We start from the raw sequence: 19,251 nt of genomic DNA, 5'->3' as shown, positions 1-19,251 counted from the left end.
CTCCCGACCTCAGGTGATCCGCCTCCCTCACCCTCCCAAAGTGTTGGGATTATAGGTGTGAGCCACCGCACTTGGCCGTTCCCAGCAGGAGACCCGTAAGACCCAAGCCTTGGGTGAGAACAGGGAGAAAACACATACTAGTTGTGACTAGGGTACTCTCATCAGACAGAAAGGTGGTGCTATTTAATCTCCAGAAAGGTGCAAGCAAGGATCAGGGTATGATTCTGACCAAGGGATCACGGAGAAAATCTCTTCTCTTGCCTGAATCTCTCCAGACTGTGGCTTCCTTCCAGTGAGGACCCCTTTGATCGATGAATTATGCGAAAATTAAACCCACTAAAAATAGGGTATGATGATTATTTTTTCTACCAAAAATGGTTTTTTAAAAAAATCATCTTCCTAGGGCTGCATTGCTGAAGTAAGTTACAGGATGGGGATGTGGGAAGGAAAGAAAGGATGTTGTATAGAAATGTAAAACTAAAAGTTCCAGGAGGCATTTCCATTACAGGATCAGTCAGAAGTGAAGTTAAAGTATCTCAGAGAAGTGCCAGAATCAACAGCAAATGTTATTTGACCTATAAGACAATTGTTTAAAGACAGTATTTTCAGGGAGTTTATTTATTATGTAATATGAAATACACCCCATGTTTTATCCAAGTGTTATTAAAATACCAGACAGGTAAGTGTAAGCACCAAAATAATGCATTTCCAAATCCAAACAGAAAACTTTCTGTTTATGTGCATTTGGGGCTGTCTGTGGCCTTGAATCGATGGTTCAAGGATGACTGTTAGGGGCGCAGTGCAGTGACGCCTGCGTGGAATGGGAGCTTAGCCCTGGGAGTCTCAGATTCTGTGGCTTTGTGACTGCACTCTCAGGACATTTCTGTGTTGCAGTGATCCCAGACTCCCTGCAGACCACTGCCATGCCCCAGACTCTGCACAGAGTGGAGCAGGACCCGCTGGAGCTCACTTGTGAGGTGGCCTCAGAGACCATTCAGCACAGCCACCTGTCTGTGGCCTGGCTCCGGCAGAAAGTTGGCGAGAAGCCCGTGGAGGTCATCTCCCTGAGCCGAGATTTCATGCTTCACTCCAGCAGCGAATATGCCCAGAGGCAGAGCCTGGGGGAGGTGCGGCTGGACAAGCTGGGGAGGACCACCTTCCGCCTCACCATCTTCCACCTGCAGCCTTCTGACCAGGGCGAATTCTACTGCGAGGCCGCCGAGTGGATCCAGGATCCGGATGGGTCGTGGTATGCTATGACCCGAAAGCGTTCCGAGGGAGCCGTGGTCAACGTCCAGCCAACTGGTCAGTCCCTCTGAGCCTCTTGTCCTGTCCTTTACTTGGTGGTGAAGGCTGTCAGATACTGGGAGAATGTGGAGACTCCTTCTTTGGGCACCTCTACCAGGACAGCAGGTTTTCATGTGAAGTTAAAGCCGGTCTTGTGTGCGGCTGGAGGGAGCTGAGGGATGTGTGGGACATAGGTATCCTAAGACCTGAGTCACAGGCAGGTGCCACACAGACTGAGTCCTGCTTAGAGACATGCTTTCTTTGACCTACATGGTGTTTATACTTTTTTGAATTAGAAACTCATTTTAAAAATTGGGAGATTTCTGAGAAACCATTTGTATCTTAAAAGTCTGGGCTTTCATTCCCATTAGGCACAGTTGCTGCCCCGTTTAATGATGTTGCCTTCCTCAGGTACCCATCTGGTTTCATTTGCAGAAGCCATTTGAGATAATGAGACTTCCATCCAAGGTCTAACATTATGAACTAGAGAAATTTTGGCTTAAATTATTATTTTTTATCTAATAATAGTCTTTGGTGATATTTTTTAATTTCCAAAATGCTTTATCACATATTACTTCACCATCCCCCAGACGTTCTGTGAGGTGAGTAGGTGGTAGTACTCCTATTTTGCAGGTGAAGATGCTGAATGCAGATTACTTTATGTTGGGGCTCAAGAGGAGTCATAGGGCATGTTGATGAGGCCAGTCTGAGAGTACCAAGTTCCACTGTAGATGTTTTCTTAAGTGAAGGCCTGGAAGGGGTCCTGAGGAGGTTGCATGATGTCTTTAGAGCTGAGGCAAAATGATGGTGGCACAGCCAGCTGAAACCCTCCCTGGCTTCTCTTGGTATCTCCTGTGGCCCCAGACTCTACTCCCCAGTCTCCTGAGCCCACCAGGCTCCAGGCCAGAGCTGACAGCTGTTGCTGGCTGCCTCTGCTGGGCTGAGGGCAGGTTCTCACATGGGCCTTCAGATCCCCCAGCTTTGGTTGGAGCATGGTTGTTGTGCCATCACTAAGTTGGCGATGAGTGGCCTGAAAGCCTTTCCTTGTGCGGAAGCTCACTTCTGGTGAGGACTGTGGTGGTTCTGGTGAGTGAGTGTGGCTTGTGGGAAATGACCTGGTGAGTTGCAGTACAGGTGGGGTCCTTCGTCAGGACCTGTCTCTTGGGCTCCCTGTTCCATTTGCTGCAGTCAGTTGTCTGGGTCTTTGCATACTTTCTCTGCCATTCTAGAGTAATGCTTCAGACTCAGCTAACAGTATACATTTTGGGGCTTCGTCCCAGAAGTCTTCAATTGGAGGCTCCTGGGATGGGACCTGGGAAGCTGGATTTCCGGCACGCTTCCCAGGTGATTCTTCTGCTATCTACATTTTTTTCAAGCAAAGCTTCTAGGGCAGAAGCAATTCTCTGGACATCACTTTAATAAGTCATCTAATGGATGTGAAATCTTTTACCGTAGGGGTTGGTAGGGATAGGGAGCACTTTATCTGCTCTGTAGGACATTTAGCAGCTTCTGGATCTTTCAATATTAAAAAATCTATCCAAGGGGCTTTATTTTATATTTATCCTTTCCCTTCCTGGATAGTTTTAAGATCAACTTCAAAAATTTGGGCCAAATTTTGAGTCTTAATGCTTTTAAATTAGGTTGCATCAGTTAATCTTCTTTATTTTAATCTTACCAATTTGGAATTAGAACTTTTTGAATTTACCCTGAAAATGTATCTAGACTAAGCCAGCAAAAGGAAAACTAAGTGAAAAAAAAGTTGATGACTTCACCCTGCATTCCTGTGCTGTTTAGGTTCAGCAGTTGCATCTCCAACTCTACCCTTCTTAGTTTATTTCAGTAAACATGTAGCCAGTCTCCACAGCATTGAAGGTGTGATGGTGATAGGCATTAAGGGCTTCAAAGATGACTAGCACTGGTCCCTGCACTTAGGCAGACCTGAGAGCCAATGGACAAGTAAAATGTGCTAAGTGCATTGATAGCATTTGTATAGAGTGCTCTGGGAATACCGGAAATAGGAAGTGTTCTTGCAACCACAGTTATCTCTGAATGGGATGGTTGATAAGACAAATCCAGGAACACCAATAAGTTTCTTGAGTTGAACTGAGTCTGGAAGCTTGAGGAGTCAGCAGGAGGAGAAGCATAAAAGTGCAAAAGTGTTTGATATGTTTGCCAAGCAGAAAGGAGTCAAGTATGACTAGTTCCGGATGTTGAGTTCCAGATGTGTGTGATGAGAGAGGAAAGGGACCCCGAAGCCCCAAATGCAGTGATATAGAGCCGGGGCTTGACTCTGTGAGCCAAGAGTTTTCAAGCTGTTCTTGGAACCCTGGAAGCCCCTCAAAGGTGCCTAGGAGGTTAGACATGGGTGTGTGTTGGTGTTCATGTGCACGTATGTGCACCCAGGAGTGCAGGGAGAAGGCATGCGAGGGCCTGGGTGGTCCCCTCTTGCTTCAACTATGTTGGGCAGCAGAAGATTTTGTATGAATAAAAAGTCCCCTTCCTTTGTCCTCTTCTTAATAAAGTTTGAAAACCTCTGCTGCAGACAGTTGGAGAGGAGGTAGAGATTTTTAAGCAGGGAGTAACACAATCAGATCAGGGTTTCAGAAAGAAAAACCCATGGAGGCCACCTGGAGGTTGATTAAATCTGTTGAGTCTGAAGCCAAGAGACCAGGTAGAAAAGAGCTAATAAGAGCTAAGGCTAGGTCAGTGGGTGCCAGAGGCAAAAGAATAAAGAGCAAGTGGAAGGAGGGGTCCAACTGTCTAGAAGTCCAGGGGCTAGGACTGGGGCTCTGGGGGTTCCTTGAACTGTGGGAGGGAAGGAACAATAATGAGGACATGCGGGACTTTTGCATTTGTGGCAGCATTGGCTGCCTTTTGTTTTTGTAAATTCTAATGAAAGAGCCCATCCATCAGGTAGACTCTGATAGAGATGCTCAGTATGCGAAACACCCAGTGGGTCCTCAGACACAGGGGTCTGGGGCTCAGAGACCGAGCCTGAGAGTGATCAGGGCCCTGGAAGAGCCCATGGGGTAAAAATGGGAAAGGACCTGGGAGAACAGCAGCAGTAAGAGGTGACCAGAGAAGCAGGTGAGAGAGTGGAACAGAGTGGGCAGGCCAGCAAGAAGAAGAGCAGGAGAGAAGGGATCATGGAGCAGGCTCAGAGGCCTCAACCTGCTTGAGGAAAGCCTTTGGTTAGGATGGGGGTAGGGGTAGGGTGGATCATTTGTGACATTTGCTAAGTCAGTGAAGCCTAATTTCAGTGAGATGAAGTGGAAGGGGTATTGGAAAAAGCACAGGTCAGTTTCTAGAGATGTAATTGACTGGGCATAACCAAGGGCAGAAACGGGGGTGATGTGGGTAAATCTTGTGTCTTCAACCTGGGAACATGAAGGTGTCACCAAGGCATGGGGGGATTCCCTTGAGATGAGAAGAGTCTTTGGCCGCCGAAAGAAGAAAGCCAGAGTTACAGCCAGGCTAACCTGGAGCAACGGAAAGGTCTGAGGTCTAGGGTACCCCTTGCACAGCTCCAGTGGTGTTTATGTGGAAGGAGTGCTTTTCTGTCATTGATGTTGGGTTATAAATGACTAACTGGGTTGACCTGAGAGATAATATCCAGCAGATAACACGGGGACTGTCCCATATGGGTGTGTTCATCCAGGCAGATGGTGGCAGAGTGAAATGTGCTTCCTTCAATCCATGCCTCTTAAGACTGGTCTCTTGGGAGCTAGAAGCTGTGACAGCAGCTACTTCATTGGAGGGGAGGCCCTGGAGTTGATGATGTGGTTTTCCCTGTCAGGAAGTTTGGCTGCTAGAGGAAGTAGTTAGGTCACTGGAAAGAAGGGGTATTTGCAGCAGGACACTGGCCTATATCGGGGGGAGGGGCTGGAGAGCCTGAGGAGCGGGAGGGGTAAAGCTGAGCTGGGGCTGGAAAAGAAGAATGTGGATGCTGCTTATGCATGATTCTTATGTTTTCTTGGGGAAACAGAAACCTCATCTGCTTGAAGAGTGCCTAGGACGGGATGAATGGGCAAGATCTTGAAGATAGTGGGAAAGGCTAGACATGCCAGTCTAGGGAAGGCAGGCAAGGTCAGAGCTAATGAATCTACATGGAATTCAAACGTCTCTGCCATGGGATTTTTTCCACCTCGGTGTTCTTTTTAGAGGAACAGAGCTAGAACTGGGCAGTGGTCACAGCTCCAGTCTCTAACCCTTAACTCCGTTTTCTTCCCCCTGACTTCTGCCGTGGGTGCCTATGAGATACGATAGCTGTCTAATGAGATTAATAGCCACTGTACACTGGTACACAGGTTGTGATGATGCTGTTAGTGGTAATGAGCCCCTCTTTGGTCACCCCCTCATGCCTGGTTAAGCACCCAACTCAACAAAAATTAGCTGGATATGGTGGCTACTCCGGAGGCTGAGGTGGGAGGATGGCTGGAGCCTGGGAAGTCGAGGCTGCAGTGAGCCACGATCATGCCACTACACTCCAGCCTGGGCAACAGAACGAGACCCTGTCACAGTAAATAAGTAAATAAATAAAAATTAAAAAAACACCTAGATCTTAGGAGGCTGCTTGGGTTTAGTAATCATTTCAGAGGCTGTCTGGCTTTCAGCAGAAGTAGGTACTTTTCCTACTAAAGTACCTACTAAGTACTTACTCAGTGGGAAAGTACCTACTAAGGTTTAACCAGGCGTGAGTACTTAGTAGGTACTTTCCCACTAAAGTAGGTACTTTCCTACTAAAGTAAGTACTTAGTAGGTACTTCACTGGGAAAGTACCTACTTCCATTGAAATCTGACTAGAGATTTGATCTGACAGGTGGTAAACTAGTGAACAGACATTAGTTTTTATTTTTTCTATGTAATTCTGTTAGGGTTTGTCATACCTACATCTTATTTCTAGTATTCACATGGCGGGGGGTAGAGAGGGAATTTTAATATAGTCATCTTTGAGCATTTGTTAGGATTGGGCCAGCACCTAGGCCACTCTGTAATTTTTTCCCACAGACCTCAGTGGGGTAAGTCTTACAATATCTGCTGAAAATGTTTATAATGCTGTTGCTTAAATAGAGTTCTGGGTGCATATATCAAGGCTAGATATTTGTAATCTACCATTTGAGTGATATTAGTAGCTTCTCACTGACCTGGGGGTCTCATCTAAGACATCTAAAGCTTCAGACTGAGCCCCATTGGTCTTAACTGGGGTAACAGTTTGCTTAGACCGTCTGGGCTGAAGTAGTTTTGAATTCTCTCTGTGATATTCAGGCGTTTCTCTGGACCTTAGATAACCTGGGTCTGAGTTGGATTTTACTCTCAAGCTAAGTGCTGTGGTCCTCCCCGCAGTTAGTATTGTAAAGAAGAGGAAGGATAGTGGGAATGTGCTAATGTGGTTTAGTTGGCTGGGGCCCTCATTCACCCAGGATGTGTCTCTTTTCTTACTTGTTCTCTCAGACAAAGAATTCACTGTTCGGCTGGAGACAGAGAAGCGGCTGCACACGGTGGGCGAGCCGGTGGAGTTCAGATGCATCCTGGAGGCTCAGAATGTTCCCGACCGTTACTTTGCTGTCTCCTGGGCCTTCAACAGCTCGCTCATCGCCACCATGGGTCCTAACGCTGTGCCTGTCCTCAACAGCGAATTTGCTCACCGGGAAGCCAGGGGACAGCTTAAGGTGGCCAAAGAGAGCGACAGTGTCTTTGTGCTGAAGATCTACCACCTCCGCCAGGAAGATAGCGGGAAATACAACTGCCGGGTGACTGAGCGAGAGAAAACCGTGACCGGGGAATTCATTGATAAGGAGAGCAAGCGTCCCAAGAACATCCCCATCATAGTCCTCCCCCTCAGTAAGTAGAGAGATGTGCTGCTTTCTTCTCCTTTGGCTCAGCATCATTTAGGAGAGGTAGGGGGAGAGAGAATAGCGTGGTGAAGGTGAGGGGAGGCAGATGGAACCCTCGAGGTTAATGCAGAGCTGGGGGAAAAACCATTGAGCCTCTCTTCCCTGTTGTAGCCCACCTGCATACATGTAGCAGGCTCCCCATAGCAGAGGATCAGGATCAGGGGTGTCCAGAATCAGGGCAGTCTAGGGCTGGGCATAGGCCTATCTGATTGCTAGCAGCCCTGTGCATACACAAGCAGTGCCAGCTCAGCTTGGAGGGAAACCAGGAATCCCAGAAAGCTGTTTGCTCTTGTGTGGGAATCAAGTCCCAGAAGAAGTGGGTAGATGCCTGCCTTGAAATCTCACTTAAGGAGAGTTGGTCTTTTATGGGAGGATTTTAAATCATAAAGTGCATTATTAAGGATTTGCCATCTGGGTTTTTCAGGTATAAAGGCTGGCATTTCCCTAAATGGCTTTTCCCTGTTGAAATTGTGTTTCTAAAAGTCGGTGGATGGGACCTCTCACATCTTCCTGGAGCATAGCCTTTTAAGCTTAGCTGATTTCTGAGGCTGCCTCAGTGGGCTCCCCAGCCTTCATGTAGACTGGCCTTGTGTGGGTGGGTAGTGGCCATTGCTAGGGATTCCAGAAACTACTGGTGTTTGCTTGTGTTGTGTTTAAACATTCATAGTATCAAGATATTCTTATTAATCTCATTCTCCCATAGTTCTGTTTTTAGTAAAGAGAATAAAAACCTATAATGCTCTGATTTTAAACAAGTGGTAAAGTTTTAAGACTAACCTTTAACCTTGTCTCAGCTGCTCAAACTATTCTTTCTCTGAGCCTTGTAATAATTTCCTTTACTTTTTATTTATATGTTTTAATATTTAAAATATTTCTCTTCAAGTGTGATATTTCTCTTCAAGTAGCCACAGCGGTCCTCTTGTCAGTCTTTTCTTCTTTTCTCATCAACTGGATTATTTTCTTTTTATGCTTATTATTATTTTGTTAAAAACCATGCACACACATACCTAATTATCTTGAAATTCTTTTGTTTCTTAGCTTTTTCCGCCCTGCAATGCCTAGCATGGTGCTTTGCATAGAGTAGGTGCTCGCTGAATACTGTACAACTGAAATTATTGAATTGAATGCCCACTGTCTTTACTATTTTCCTGTCAGTCTGTGCTTGCCTTAACCACGGACTCTACTTTTAAATCTGCAACTAATTCCTCATTGTTTTCTAAGGATCAAGTGAAGGGCAGCCACGCTGTTTACTTCCTATATTTTTTGTACTAAGATTTCCCCCAACCCCTTCTGAGAACTTGTTTGATGATCTGTGGCCTGCTATATTGCTTTTCCAGCAGATAACTGGGTAGTTAAAGTCCCCCAGCACCACCAGCTCCTGTCCCAAGGCCACTTGGGTAAGTCTGCCGAAGAACAACAACAATCACATCGGTAATGGTGACAATGCCTTGGATTTTAATGGCGCTTTTCCTCCTAAGAGACCAAAGTGCTTCTGCATATATCATCTCCTTCTCCGCTCCCACCTCTCAAATCCTCGTAGAGGCCAATATGATATCCATCTAATGAATGAAGAAATCAGAGCACCACACAGGAAGTGACAGAGCTGATTGTTCAGTTAGTGGTTGAGCTTGCATTGCATTAGGAAATATTTGCTTCTAACTCCACACCCACCGCCCTGCGCTTAGCCTGTGCTACACCGTCAACTTCCTGATTTGAAATTTCATTTGTGAATGTGTACTCAGATTTTTATTAGTTCTGTCCTAGTTTTCACTTAATCCAGAGAGTTTAAAATTGTCGGCTGCCTTTTCTCAGGCCTGGAAATTCTTGTAAATAGTGTTAGTGGGCAGTGAGGCACCAGGTCTGTAGTTGCCTTTGCCTCAGCTGCTATAATAAAATAGCATTTCTTCTTGTAGCCCCACATTCTAACTATGTGGGTTTCCAGGCTTGCTCAAGCAACAGACACCACCAAACAGTAGCCCTTTCAATAAATGAGCCAGGACTTGGATAAGCGTCCACTGGGATGACAGTAGGGGATGAGAGTGAGGTCCTGCAAGTCATTCTTCTGCTTAATACAAGTGAAAGGATTTTCTTCCTTGATGCTGCAGTTGCCCTTTTAATCCCTTATTTTGAATTGATAACAGTGGGGATGAGTCTTTAATCTAAAGAGGAATATTGTTGTTATTAATGATGATGAAAAATAAGTACCTCATCTGATCCTCTCAATGTCATGCCCTAAGAAGTAGGCACTATTAGTATCTCCATTTTGCACATGAGAAATTGGAGCTTTGGTAGGTTAAGGAAGAACCACAGGATTACAGAGTTAGGAAGTCTCCAAATCCATCCCCTTAACCATTAGTGCTATAGATGGTGACTGTTCAGGAGCCTGATCATCTCTATGAATCATCCTGGTATGAGTCCTGGGGGAGGTTGCCCTCCTAGGAAAATTGCTATTCCCTGCCCCATCCAGACCTTTTATTTTTCACATAAAACAAGCAAATCCAGAATGGATAGCAGGCATCCTCACTATAATAAGAGCTACATGTGGAGGCTCAGTGCTCGTCTTTGTTTCTGCTTGTTGGGGAAATAAAGGAGAGAAAAGATTTGATTCAAATGCATTGTTATGTGTATGTGTGTGTTTTCTCTTGGTAATTGGGTGTGCCTCTTAAAATCTGGGATTTGATTTAATTAATTGGTTTAAAATTATTGCATGTATTTAATGTGGGTGGTACCCAAAAATTGGAGCCAAATTAGTTACTTTGTGTTCTTTAATACTTACAGACCTTCTGAACTCAATATAGATAATTATACAAAATACTACATGTATAATTAAAACATATTAGGCTATCTGTGATGTTTATAAAAACAAAGAGTTATGTGGAATAGTAAAATTAATCATGATCATGATGACCAGTTTTTGAAAACCTACTATGTGTTAGGTGAATCTATATGCATCATCTCATTTACTTTTTAATATTTAAAGAATTCTACAGTTAAAGGTGGCTCTCTACCTGTCTTACAGAAGAAGAGGCTGAGGCATGTCGAGTTTAAATAATTTGATTGAGTGAATTCAGATAGTTAAGTGAGCAGCAGAGGCTAGATGAGACAGGGAAGGGAGTGGAATCCTTATCCCAAACTTTTGATTGGCCAAATGTTTCTAGAAAGAGAGCAAAGGAGCCCCAGGGCTGACTGGACAGGCGGGAGAGTGGTGGATGACGAGCTGCTGGCTTTGTTTTGTTCCTGTGTGTTAATGAAAGAATGAAAGCCCGCTCCTCACACACTCTGCAAAACTAGACCATCTGTGCTCCCTTATTACCCACACTTAAGCACACGTTATCGTCCCAATACTTACTGTTGGTTTTTTTCCCAGTATTTCCTAAATTGTCCTGAAGGACTCAAATGGCACATTATGGATATTCAGCTTTTATTTGACTGCTGTAGTACCGAATGGTAGGAAGAGTGAAGTGAAGTAGGATTTTGGAGTTACTCTTCTTGCTGAAAATTCAACTTGAAAAACCCTGAACTCCAGCTGAATAGATTACCCAATAAATTGTTTTATGCCCTAAACATCATGCCACTATGTTGTATTTCTTAGGTTCTTATTCAGGCTCAGGTCTTAGAACCTCGTTATCACAGTTCTCTGCACATGGCAAAGAACATCCTAGATTATCAGATCTAAAACCACAGGGAGCAAAGCCCAGAACCAGCCAGGGCTTGCAGCAACTAGGGTCAGAGTGTTTTTGACCCTCTGAGGCTCACCGTACCTGAATATGATTCCATTTGCACCCCTTCTCCTGTTTCCTCTGTGGGGAGGGCGCTGTGGAGACCATAAAGCCTCCAGGGTGTTTCTCTCTCCCTCTTCCTAGAGAGCAGCATCTCCGTGGAGGTGGCCAGCAATGCCAGCGTCATCCTTGAGGGCGAGGACCTGCGCTTCTCCTGCAGTGTCCGCACGGCAGGCAGGCCGCAGGGTCGCTTCTCTGTCATCTGGCAGCTTGTGGACAGGCAGAACCGCCGCAGCAATATCATGTGGCTAGACCGGGATGGCACCGTGCAGCCAGGCTCGTCCTACTGGGAGCGCAGCAGCTTTGGGGGCGTCCAGATGGAGCAGGTGCAGCCCAACTCGTTCAGCCTGGGCATCTTCAACAGCAGGAAGGAGGACGAGGGCCAGTATGAATGCCATGTGACTGAATGGGTGCGGGCAGTGGATGGCGAGTGGCAGATTGTTGGGGAGCGCCGGGCCAGCACTCCCATCTCCATCACAGCTCTTGGTGAGTGAGCGGTGGGACTGGCAGTGGGTCTGGCATGGAGACAGCTTCAGTGTCAAACACCTTATCCTGACTTTTCTCAGTCAGAGTTTTAGCAGGAAACTATGGCCAGTCTTTTACCTATAGAGTTTGAAGTACTTTCCTTTATGTCTATTTTATTTCTTATAAGGGTTTAATTAATTAAGATAGTGCTAGCAGGGACTGAGGGACCCACAGTGGATGATGGGGCTCCTGAGGGATAGCAATAGCTGGGAGCTGTGACTACTCCTAGTCTGGCTGGGAGAGAGTGATGTTATCAGAACTCTATCCAGGTTAGTGAAGCCACCCAGCCATAGTGGTGGCCCCAGGTGGAGGAGCATGGCCACTGCCAGCCTGGCCTTAAAGAGAGCAGAGTGGCTGAGCACTGTGTGGCATGTCTTTCCTGCCCTGCTGCCCAGGGGCCAGCCTTCCTGAAAGAGAGCAGAGAAGGGTATAAAATCATCTGTTGTCATTTATTTAGCATTTACTATGTTCCTGCCTGATCCTTAACACTTAAGCTTAGTTGTCCCATTGAATCCCCACCTAGCCAAGTGACAGACACTTTCATTTTATGGAGGAAACTGAGACTGAGACACATTAAATACTTTGCCTAAGGCTAGAAGTTTCTACTACCTGACGGGGCCCATACCTAACAAAGCTATTCCCTCATTAGCGTGGAATGAAAAGATACCTTGAGATTTGCTAAAACCAAGGAAGATTAGATTTGCTTCTCATGGGGTAAAGAGGCTTCTATCAACATTTATCTGCCTGGATATAATCAGTCTATTAGATTTTAAACGACCAGTCTGTGACTTTGCTGGGAAAGAAACTTGTTATATCAGGTCTTCCTGTTTATCAGGAGACATCGGTTGTCCTCAGCAACTTTATGTCCCACTCCCTGGGACTGTGTCACCACCTTCCTTGCAGGTTGGGATGGTGGTGCTTTTGGATACTTCCAGTAAAGATGGCAGCCCCAAGTGGTTTTTGTCCTTAACAGAGTCCTCCATTTTCTTACCCCTCTGAGATTAGAATTACATTTATTTTCTAAAGCTTAATCCTAAAGATTGACCTGCTTTTTGCAGTAATTATACAGCTCAGATTTCTGTCTTAGAAACTTCCTCCAGTGATTGCGTTTCCTGATCAGCTCAGTTCCTGTATCCATACTCAGCACCTGTGTGAACCCAGTGAGATGGAACTTGGGGGACAACTTTTGGATGTCCAGTACTGGTGTGTTTTTTTTTTTTTTAACCATCCTGGAAGGTTAGGAATGTCCAATGAGTGATTAGAGTTAGTGAGGATTGTTTCTCTAGAAGTAATTTATGTTATCAGGTTATCCCCTGAGTTTTTTCTTACTCACCATATGTCTGGTGGTTCTCACAGCCAGGGGCACTGAGGGGCTCTGCCCTGGGATCTGGAGGCCAGCACTGTTCACCTGATCTCCACCACTGAGATACCTCTGGCTAGAGCCATAATCAGGTGGCCCAAAGGACTGAACAAGGAAGAATGGGAGGGCACTCTAGACTAATTAAGGTTGTCTTTTCAGTCTAAAGTTAACAATGACACACATGAATTTTCATATCAGTATAATTAGATGCGGGTCCCATCTAATTACAGTGGGTCATTATGGCTGTTCGGTTAGAGCAGCTTGGGTGCTCTGTGACCATGGCATGTGCCCGTGTCAGGACTAGACAAAGTCATTTGCTTGGGGAAGCTCTCTCCCCTTCAGGTGTGAGGCCAGGAGCACCTGGTGTGGGTCCTGTCCCTGAGGTTCTGTCCTACACCACCCTCATGCAACACCTACTACACACAGGTGCACAGCGACTGTCACAGGCGCTTCATGTTTAAGGATGGGCCTCCGTGTCATAAACTTTTTTAAAGGGTATATAGAGATAGCTTATGAAATCCAAATCAAAGGTCCAGAGTTTTCAGCAAATTGTACCTACCTATTTGCCAACTTAACCTCACCATAGAAAGCCAAAAGATTCATCCTGTGGCCAGTCTTTCACATTACAGAGTTTAAAGTACTTTTTTTAAATTTCTATTTTATTTTTAACAAAATATTTAACAAAATATAGTATATCTCATGTGCCAGGTACTATTTGTAATATTTATAAACACTGATTTATTTAATCTTCACAGAGACTCATTTTACAGATTGGAAAACAGAGGCAGAGAGAAGTTAAGTAACTTTAATGTCACTCAGCTGGGAAGTATCAAAGTCTTGGCTGCTGGCTCCAGAGTCTAGACCTTTAACCACTGTGTTATGCTTTCCATGGGTAAAGCAACCTAAAAAGGCCCCTGGAATCAGTTACATGTGGTTGGAGACTAACTCTGTCATTGACTTACTAAATGCTTGATATTGGGCAATTTATCTAACCTCTCTCTGCATCAGTTTCTACATCTGCAGGAAGAGATGACAAGCCTGCCTGTTCTACAAGGTTGTTTTGGGGATTCAGTGGAGCATGATGAGAGCAAAGCAGTTGGCACCATGCTTGCACCTAGATAGTGCTCAATAAATACTGGCTACTGTTAGCTTTATGATTGTGATCAATGTATGAATATTAAACAGTATTTCCAGGCTGAAGGAGCTCTGAGGTACTCATATTGAGGAGTCAGTATTAGGGCTTAGCAGTGCTGCCCATTCAATAAGGAATATTGAGAGACCCACAGCCGCTGAGCCTGCAGAACCCTGCATTTAGGATAATTGTCCCACCCCACTGGAGGTCCCCACCTGCTCTGTTTTTGGATTTCATGAGGGACGTGAGAAAGGGACTGGAGGCCGACTCCATCTGCTTCCCTTCTCGGCACCAGTGCGCTAAGGGACCAGGAAAAGTGGTGTTGGGGCTGTGTGGTTGTGTTTTCCTCCTGTGCAATGGAGGAAATTGGCTTTGGGGTTTTCTTTTCCTGTTCTCTCATGGAATCTCAAGATTTCTAGGAGCAACCCTGCCTACATGCAATCAGTCCCTGAGAGGATTGTGATGTCTAATTCCAGGGGAGGAGCAAATGCACGAGGATCTCACTGGGAAGGGTTAGGCTAGTGCTGCTCAGGGGGAATTGTGGTGGGCCTTTCTTTGGAGTCTTGGAAACTCTTGGACTGGGCCTCAGCAGGATACTAAAAGCAACACTAGCCTGAGAGCTCAAAAGGGGCTCCGAGAGCCTCTGTCCCACACTGCTTGCTTTGCCAGCTGCCCCATTGCTGATGTCATACTGCCCTGAGAAAGCCACATGCCTCCTCTGGTTGAATCTCTCTGCTTTCTCTCCAGAAATGGGCTTCGCAGTCACAGCCATCTCCCGGACACCGGGGGTGACCTACAGCGACTCCTTTGACTTGCAGTGTATCATCAAACCCCACTACCCTGCCTGGGTCCCCGTGTCGGTGACATGGCGGTTCCAGCCGGTGGGCACGGTGGAGTTCCATGACTTGGTGACCTTCACCCGGGACGGAGGGGTCCAGTGGGGGGACAGGTCCTCCAGCTTCCGAACCCGAACTGCCATCGAGAAGGCTGAGTCCAGCAACAACGTCCGCCTAAGCATCAGCCGAGCCAGTGACACGGAAGCAGGCAAGTACCAGTGTGTGGCAGAGCTGTGGCGGAAGAACTACAACAACACCTGGACGCGACTGGCGGAGAGGACCTCCAACCTGCTGGAGATCAGGGTGCTGCAGCCAGGTGAGTGCTGCGGACCTGTGGGCTATGTGCCCATGCTGCCTGAGCAGACGTGAGGGAAAAAGAAAGGTGTGCGTGGAGCCCTTAGCGTCACTTCCCCCTTTCCCAGCTCTTCATTTAGACACATTGCAAATCAATAGGAAGTTTTAAGAATCGTGCAGTGGACACTTGTATTTCCTTTCCTTGATAGCCAGTTGTTGTCTGACGGCATTTGTTTTCTTCCTCTGTGTGTATGTTTGTTGTTGTTTTTGAGCCATTGGAGGGAAAGCTGTGGACATTGGGACACTTCCCCCTAAGTACTTCAGCATGTAACTCCTAAGAACCTACCCACCCACTGCACCATCATCACACCCTTGGGGTTTTACGTTAGTGTAGTCCTACCACCTACATTTCCCCAGTTGTCCCAGTCATGCCCTTTATTTTTCCCTTTCAGATTAGGATCCAACCAGGGATCACACATCACATTTGTTATCCTGTCTCTTTAGACTCCTTTAATCTAGAACAATTCCCTAACCTGTGTGTTTGTGTGTGTGTGTGTGTGTGTGTGTGTGTATATGTATGTGTCTGTAGACATGGACATTTGTGAAATGCACAGGCCAATTGTTTTAAAGAAAGCCCTTTTCTTTACTTAACCTCATCTCCTATAATCCTCATACAATTATGTGGAAGTGATATCATTGTCTCCTGTTCATAGACAAGGAAATTCTGAGTAAAGAGGGAGGGTAATAGGCACCTATTGAGCATCTTCTTTGCATGAGGCGCTGAAGGTCAGTTACTTTATTAGAATTGCACAACAACCCCAGGAAAGATTTAAGTGACTAGCTTAAGGTCACTAGGCTCCACCTAGTGAATGGTGGAGCCAGGATTTGAACCCCGGTTGTCTTTCTCCCACAATGTTGCCTGCACCCAGGCCCTGTCCAGTTGTATGGGCCCTGAATTTGAGCTCCTTTCTCTATGGAGGCTGAGTCTGTCTCAAAGCGGATCATAAGGATGCATTAATTTGGGGAGCATTAGTCAGTGGGGCTTTCTGCAAACACTCTCGCCTTCATCAGGCTCTTCAGCTGACACGTGGGAGGAGTTAAGTACATGCAGCTCTTATGGTTTTCCTGCATCTGTCCTTGTCTCCTGCCAGGTTAGAAGCTGGTGGAGGGTGGAGCCCAGGCAGTAGGCTCCCGTGTTCCTTCCCTCGCCCAGCCCATGCCTCGGCTGGAACAGACACCTGTGCAGGCAAGGGCAAGGGTTTGACTTTGCAAAGATGGCTGGAACGCCTTGCCAAAGGGATTTTTCTGCCCACTAACAGCCATGGTTAGTGCCTGACCTAGTCTGCCTGACTGCTTTAGGTGGCCACAGTGTCGTTTTCAGCAACGTGAGGTTAAATAATGGTAACCTTTGGGTTTCTCCTTCACCTCTTCTAACCCCATAACAGAGTTCTGTTCTGTACCAGATTTGGAACAAGTGAGTTGTATAAATGACGAGACTGTTCCCTTGGCCAATGACAGCCTAAACTTCGACTGACAAGAGGCTCAGGGAAGAGGCTGTTTTGCTTAAATGGATTTTCAGGTTAATGGAAGGTTAAGCAGAGACCCCATTTTATGTGAACCCTTGTTGTGGAAAATGTCGAGGTACCCACTTGCCTGCATTATTGAGTGGGACATTAGGATTGTAATTGCACCTTTTTTTTTTGTCCCCTCTGGCTCTCAAGGTCAGTTTTCTGAGCAGCATTGCCCATCACATGGTTCTGCAGCTGTAGAAGGTAGAGGAGTTGCTGACCTCAAGACCTTGTCTGACATTGCCTTTTTGAATACATCCCTAGTATTTGCCTGTTTCTGGTACTACTTGGAATCTAAGACTGGAGTGCCTAAGGGAAGAATACAGAATTAGTTCATTGAAGGTTCTAATTATTTGGATTAGTTTATGGTGTTACTAAAGGCAGACAGGGAAAAATATGTATGAAGTACCTCTTGGATGCCAGGTTTCTGCTTAGTGCTTTACTCATGTTTTCTTTTTAAATTTATCCAACAACCTAATAATGTAGGTGTTTGTATCCCTATTTTGCTAATGAGGAAACCAAGGCTCAAAGTGGTTGGGAATCTTGATGGAGGCAAGCCAGCTGGTTAAGTGGCAAAACTGAGATTTGAACTGAGATTGGAGCCCAGGTATCTCTGACTTCCATAGAGCAAATGTTTTCCTTTATACCATAATTGCCTCCTGGGTAAAGTAGCTGGAGGGTTGGGAGACCCCAGATCTGCTCTGAGGTCGTCTTTGTGTCTTGGGTGTCTTGAGTTGGTTTCTGTTGTGTTTTCACTGTAAAGTGAGAATGAACAGTGGTTGGCAGAGGAGACTTATGAGTATCACTGTACTTGGGCTGTTAAGAGGCCTCTACTTAAAGGTGCACAGTAATATACTTTTATGGCCCTTTGGAGGCTAGGAAGAGCAAAGGTGGGTGCTTGAGGCCGTGCAGGACTCCCAGAGGGCAGCTGAGGCACCAGGAGAGTGCATCCCCTTAAGTGTTACTGTCTCTCCTCTATTAAATATTTATGCATTTAGCACTTAATATTTTCCAGAGAGCTTCATATGAGTTTTTACTCTTTCCTATATACTTTGGTGCTGGTGCATTCATTTTGGGGAAATAGAAGTGGAAAAATACATGAGAGCTGACTGTGCGCTGGAGACTGTTGGACACTTGGTGTATATTACCTCACTTAATCTTCACTGCAACCCTGGGAGGAACATATTGCTTTCCCATTTTATAAATGAAGTAACAGAGGCTCTGAGAGATTCTCACTTCCTCAAATTAAACACCTAGTGAATGGGGGAAGTTGGGATTTGAATCCAGGTGTGCCTTGTTAAAGAGTAATTGCGGTAGGGAGACTTTGACCTTTTAAAGGCTATGTAATCAGAGATTATTCTTTCAGCATTCAGTTAATCGTGTCCTTTACAGAAGAATTTTCTCCTTGTAGATTGATGATGTGGAGGAGTTATAGCACTAGTGTTACTGGTAGTAACAACAGTAGCAGCTAATATTCACTGAGCATTTCTTGTAAACCACTGTGAATGCTTTGGTTCCTCGTTTCTTAATCCATGCAGTGCTGTGAGGGGGACCGTTTTACCCAACTTCACAGATGAGGACACTGACACAGAAGTTACATAAATTGCCCAGTGTGCCATAGTAAGTGGCAGAGCCAGGATTCAAGTCCAGACAGGCAGTTTGGCTCCAGAGTCCAAGTTCCTAATTTTATTATTATATGTTCTAGACAAGTGTTTTTCTTCTCAGGAATCCTCTTTGGTACTGTATACTTGTATTTAATGTTTCCTCTCTCTGGTTAACCACCCCTGATTTCCTAATCCCCTTTAGCAAATCCTTAAATTTGTTTTTTGGAAGTTGGGGTCATAAGACATTGGTAGAGGTTCCTCAAGACACAGTTTGCTGATGGTGTAGAAGTTTTATCTTGTGCCTCTTTTAACTCCTGATTCTTCCAGCTTCTGCCACAAGGTGGCTCTAAGACTTGCGGATACCAGAGCTCCGAACCAGCGCTGTCCTCTCTTCTTTTGCTCTCCCTGCGTACCTTGCCCCTCAAAACATAGATTCTTAGCCCTGCTCTGGTGTCTTCCATAGAAATGTCCCCTGCTACCCCCGTTTTAAAGAATATTGTGTTAAATATTCTTATTCCATCAGAATCAAATAGGAACCCAGGGACTGTTGACTCACTCATGCTGGTCTGTTTACCATCAGCCTTCCACTGCTGTGATATCATTTATCGCAGCAAGCTTCTTTGTGGTCTGTGCCCCAGACTCGTCCCTGCTGGAGCCACCTGCTGATCCTGCCCCCATATCAGTATTCATCAGAATCTCTGGTTGGATGGCACAGTTGACTTGTGGATCTGTTATTTGACCATTCCCTGTGTGTGCTTCCTGTTGCATATGCATATCCCCAACAGAATCTTCAAGGAATGCCATCACTGTCAACGTTGCCATTGATCTAGCTTAGTCTGATCCCCATTGATCACATAGTGTGACCCCTCAAGGGGTGCTTAGGCAAGACTTTCAGCCAGTTCACATGTTTGATTATTAGCTCTTAATCAGTTCTTTTCTCTTTTAATTGTGAAGCATAATTGCCTTGCTTCC

General features: G+C 45.7%; 1 protein-coding gene across 9 annotated transcripts in view, besides 4 other annotated features; it reads left to right on the top strand.

Moving 5' to 3' along the window:
- The window catches only part of IGSF3 (immunoglobulin superfamily member 3), a 93,358-nt gene that overhangs the window by 52,686 nt on the left and 21,421 nt on the right, over positions 1-19,251 (top strand). For 3 of the 9 annotated variants that reach the window (NM_001542.4, XM_011541315.2, XM_006710593.4), the window contains 5 exons: positions 895-1,305; positions 6,739-7,128; positions 8,519-8,578; positions 11,045-11,446; positions 14,725-15,129. In NM_001542.4, coding sequence (NP_001533.2) covers positions 895-1,305; positions 6,739-7,128; positions 8,519-8,578; positions 11,045-11,446; positions 14,725-15,129 — 1,668 coding nt within the window. Of the gene's footprint in view, positions 1-894; positions 1,306-6,738; positions 7,129-8,518; positions 8,579-11,044; positions 11,447-11,483; positions 12,689-14,724; positions 15,130-19,251 lie in introns of those variants that run through there. The other 6 variants (XM_047419070.1, XM_005270794.5, NM_001007237.3 and 3 more) reach the window with 3 other exon arrangements.
- Positions 423-993: an enhancer, noted in NCBI's record as "H3K27ac-H3K4me1 hESC enhancer chr1:117156699-117157269 (GRCh37/hg19 assembly coordinates)". NCBI's record gives its function as "activates a minimal SCP1, AML or CMV promoter by ChIP-STARR-seq in primed H9 embryonic stem cells {active_cell/tissue: H9 hESC(primed)}" and the evidence as "EXISTENCE:reporter gene assay evidence [ECO:0000049][PMID:30033119]".
- Positions 6,358-6,857: an enhancer, noted in NCBI's record as "H3K4me1 hESC enhancer chr1:117150835-117151334 (GRCh37/hg19 assembly coordinates)". NCBI's record gives its function as "activates a minimal SCP1, AML or CMV promoter by ChIP-STARR-seq in naive H9 embryonic stem cells {active_cell/tissue: H9 hESC(naive)}" and the evidence as "EXISTENCE:reporter gene assay evidence [ECO:0000049][PMID:30033119]".
- Positions 14,984-15,485: an enhancer, noted in NCBI's record as "H3K4me1 hESC enhancer chr1:117142207-117142708 (GRCh37/hg19 assembly coordinates)". NCBI's record gives its function as "activates a minimal SCP1, AML or CMV promoter by ChIP-STARR-seq in primed H9 embryonic stem cells {active_cell/tissue: H9 hESC(primed)}" and the evidence as "EXISTENCE:reporter gene assay evidence [ECO:0000049][PMID:30033119]".
- Positions 18,147-18,206: a silencer, noted in NCBI's record as "silent region_1234". NCBI's record gives its function as "represses an Ori minimal core promoter by ATAC-STARR-seq in GM12878 lymphoblastoid cells {active_cell/tissue: GM12878}" and the evidence as "EXISTENCE:reporter gene assay evidence [ECO:0000049][PMID:35858748]".

Source organism: Homo sapiens, chromosome 1 (genome assembly GCF_000001405.40).
Source record: "Homo sapiens chromosome 1, GRCh38.p14 Primary Assembly".
NCBI classification, from domain to species: domain Eukaryota; kingdom Metazoa; phylum Chordata; class Mammalia; order Primates; family Hominidae; genus Homo; species Homo sapiens.
This window is presented reverse-complemented; position numbering and strand designations above follow the sequence as displayed.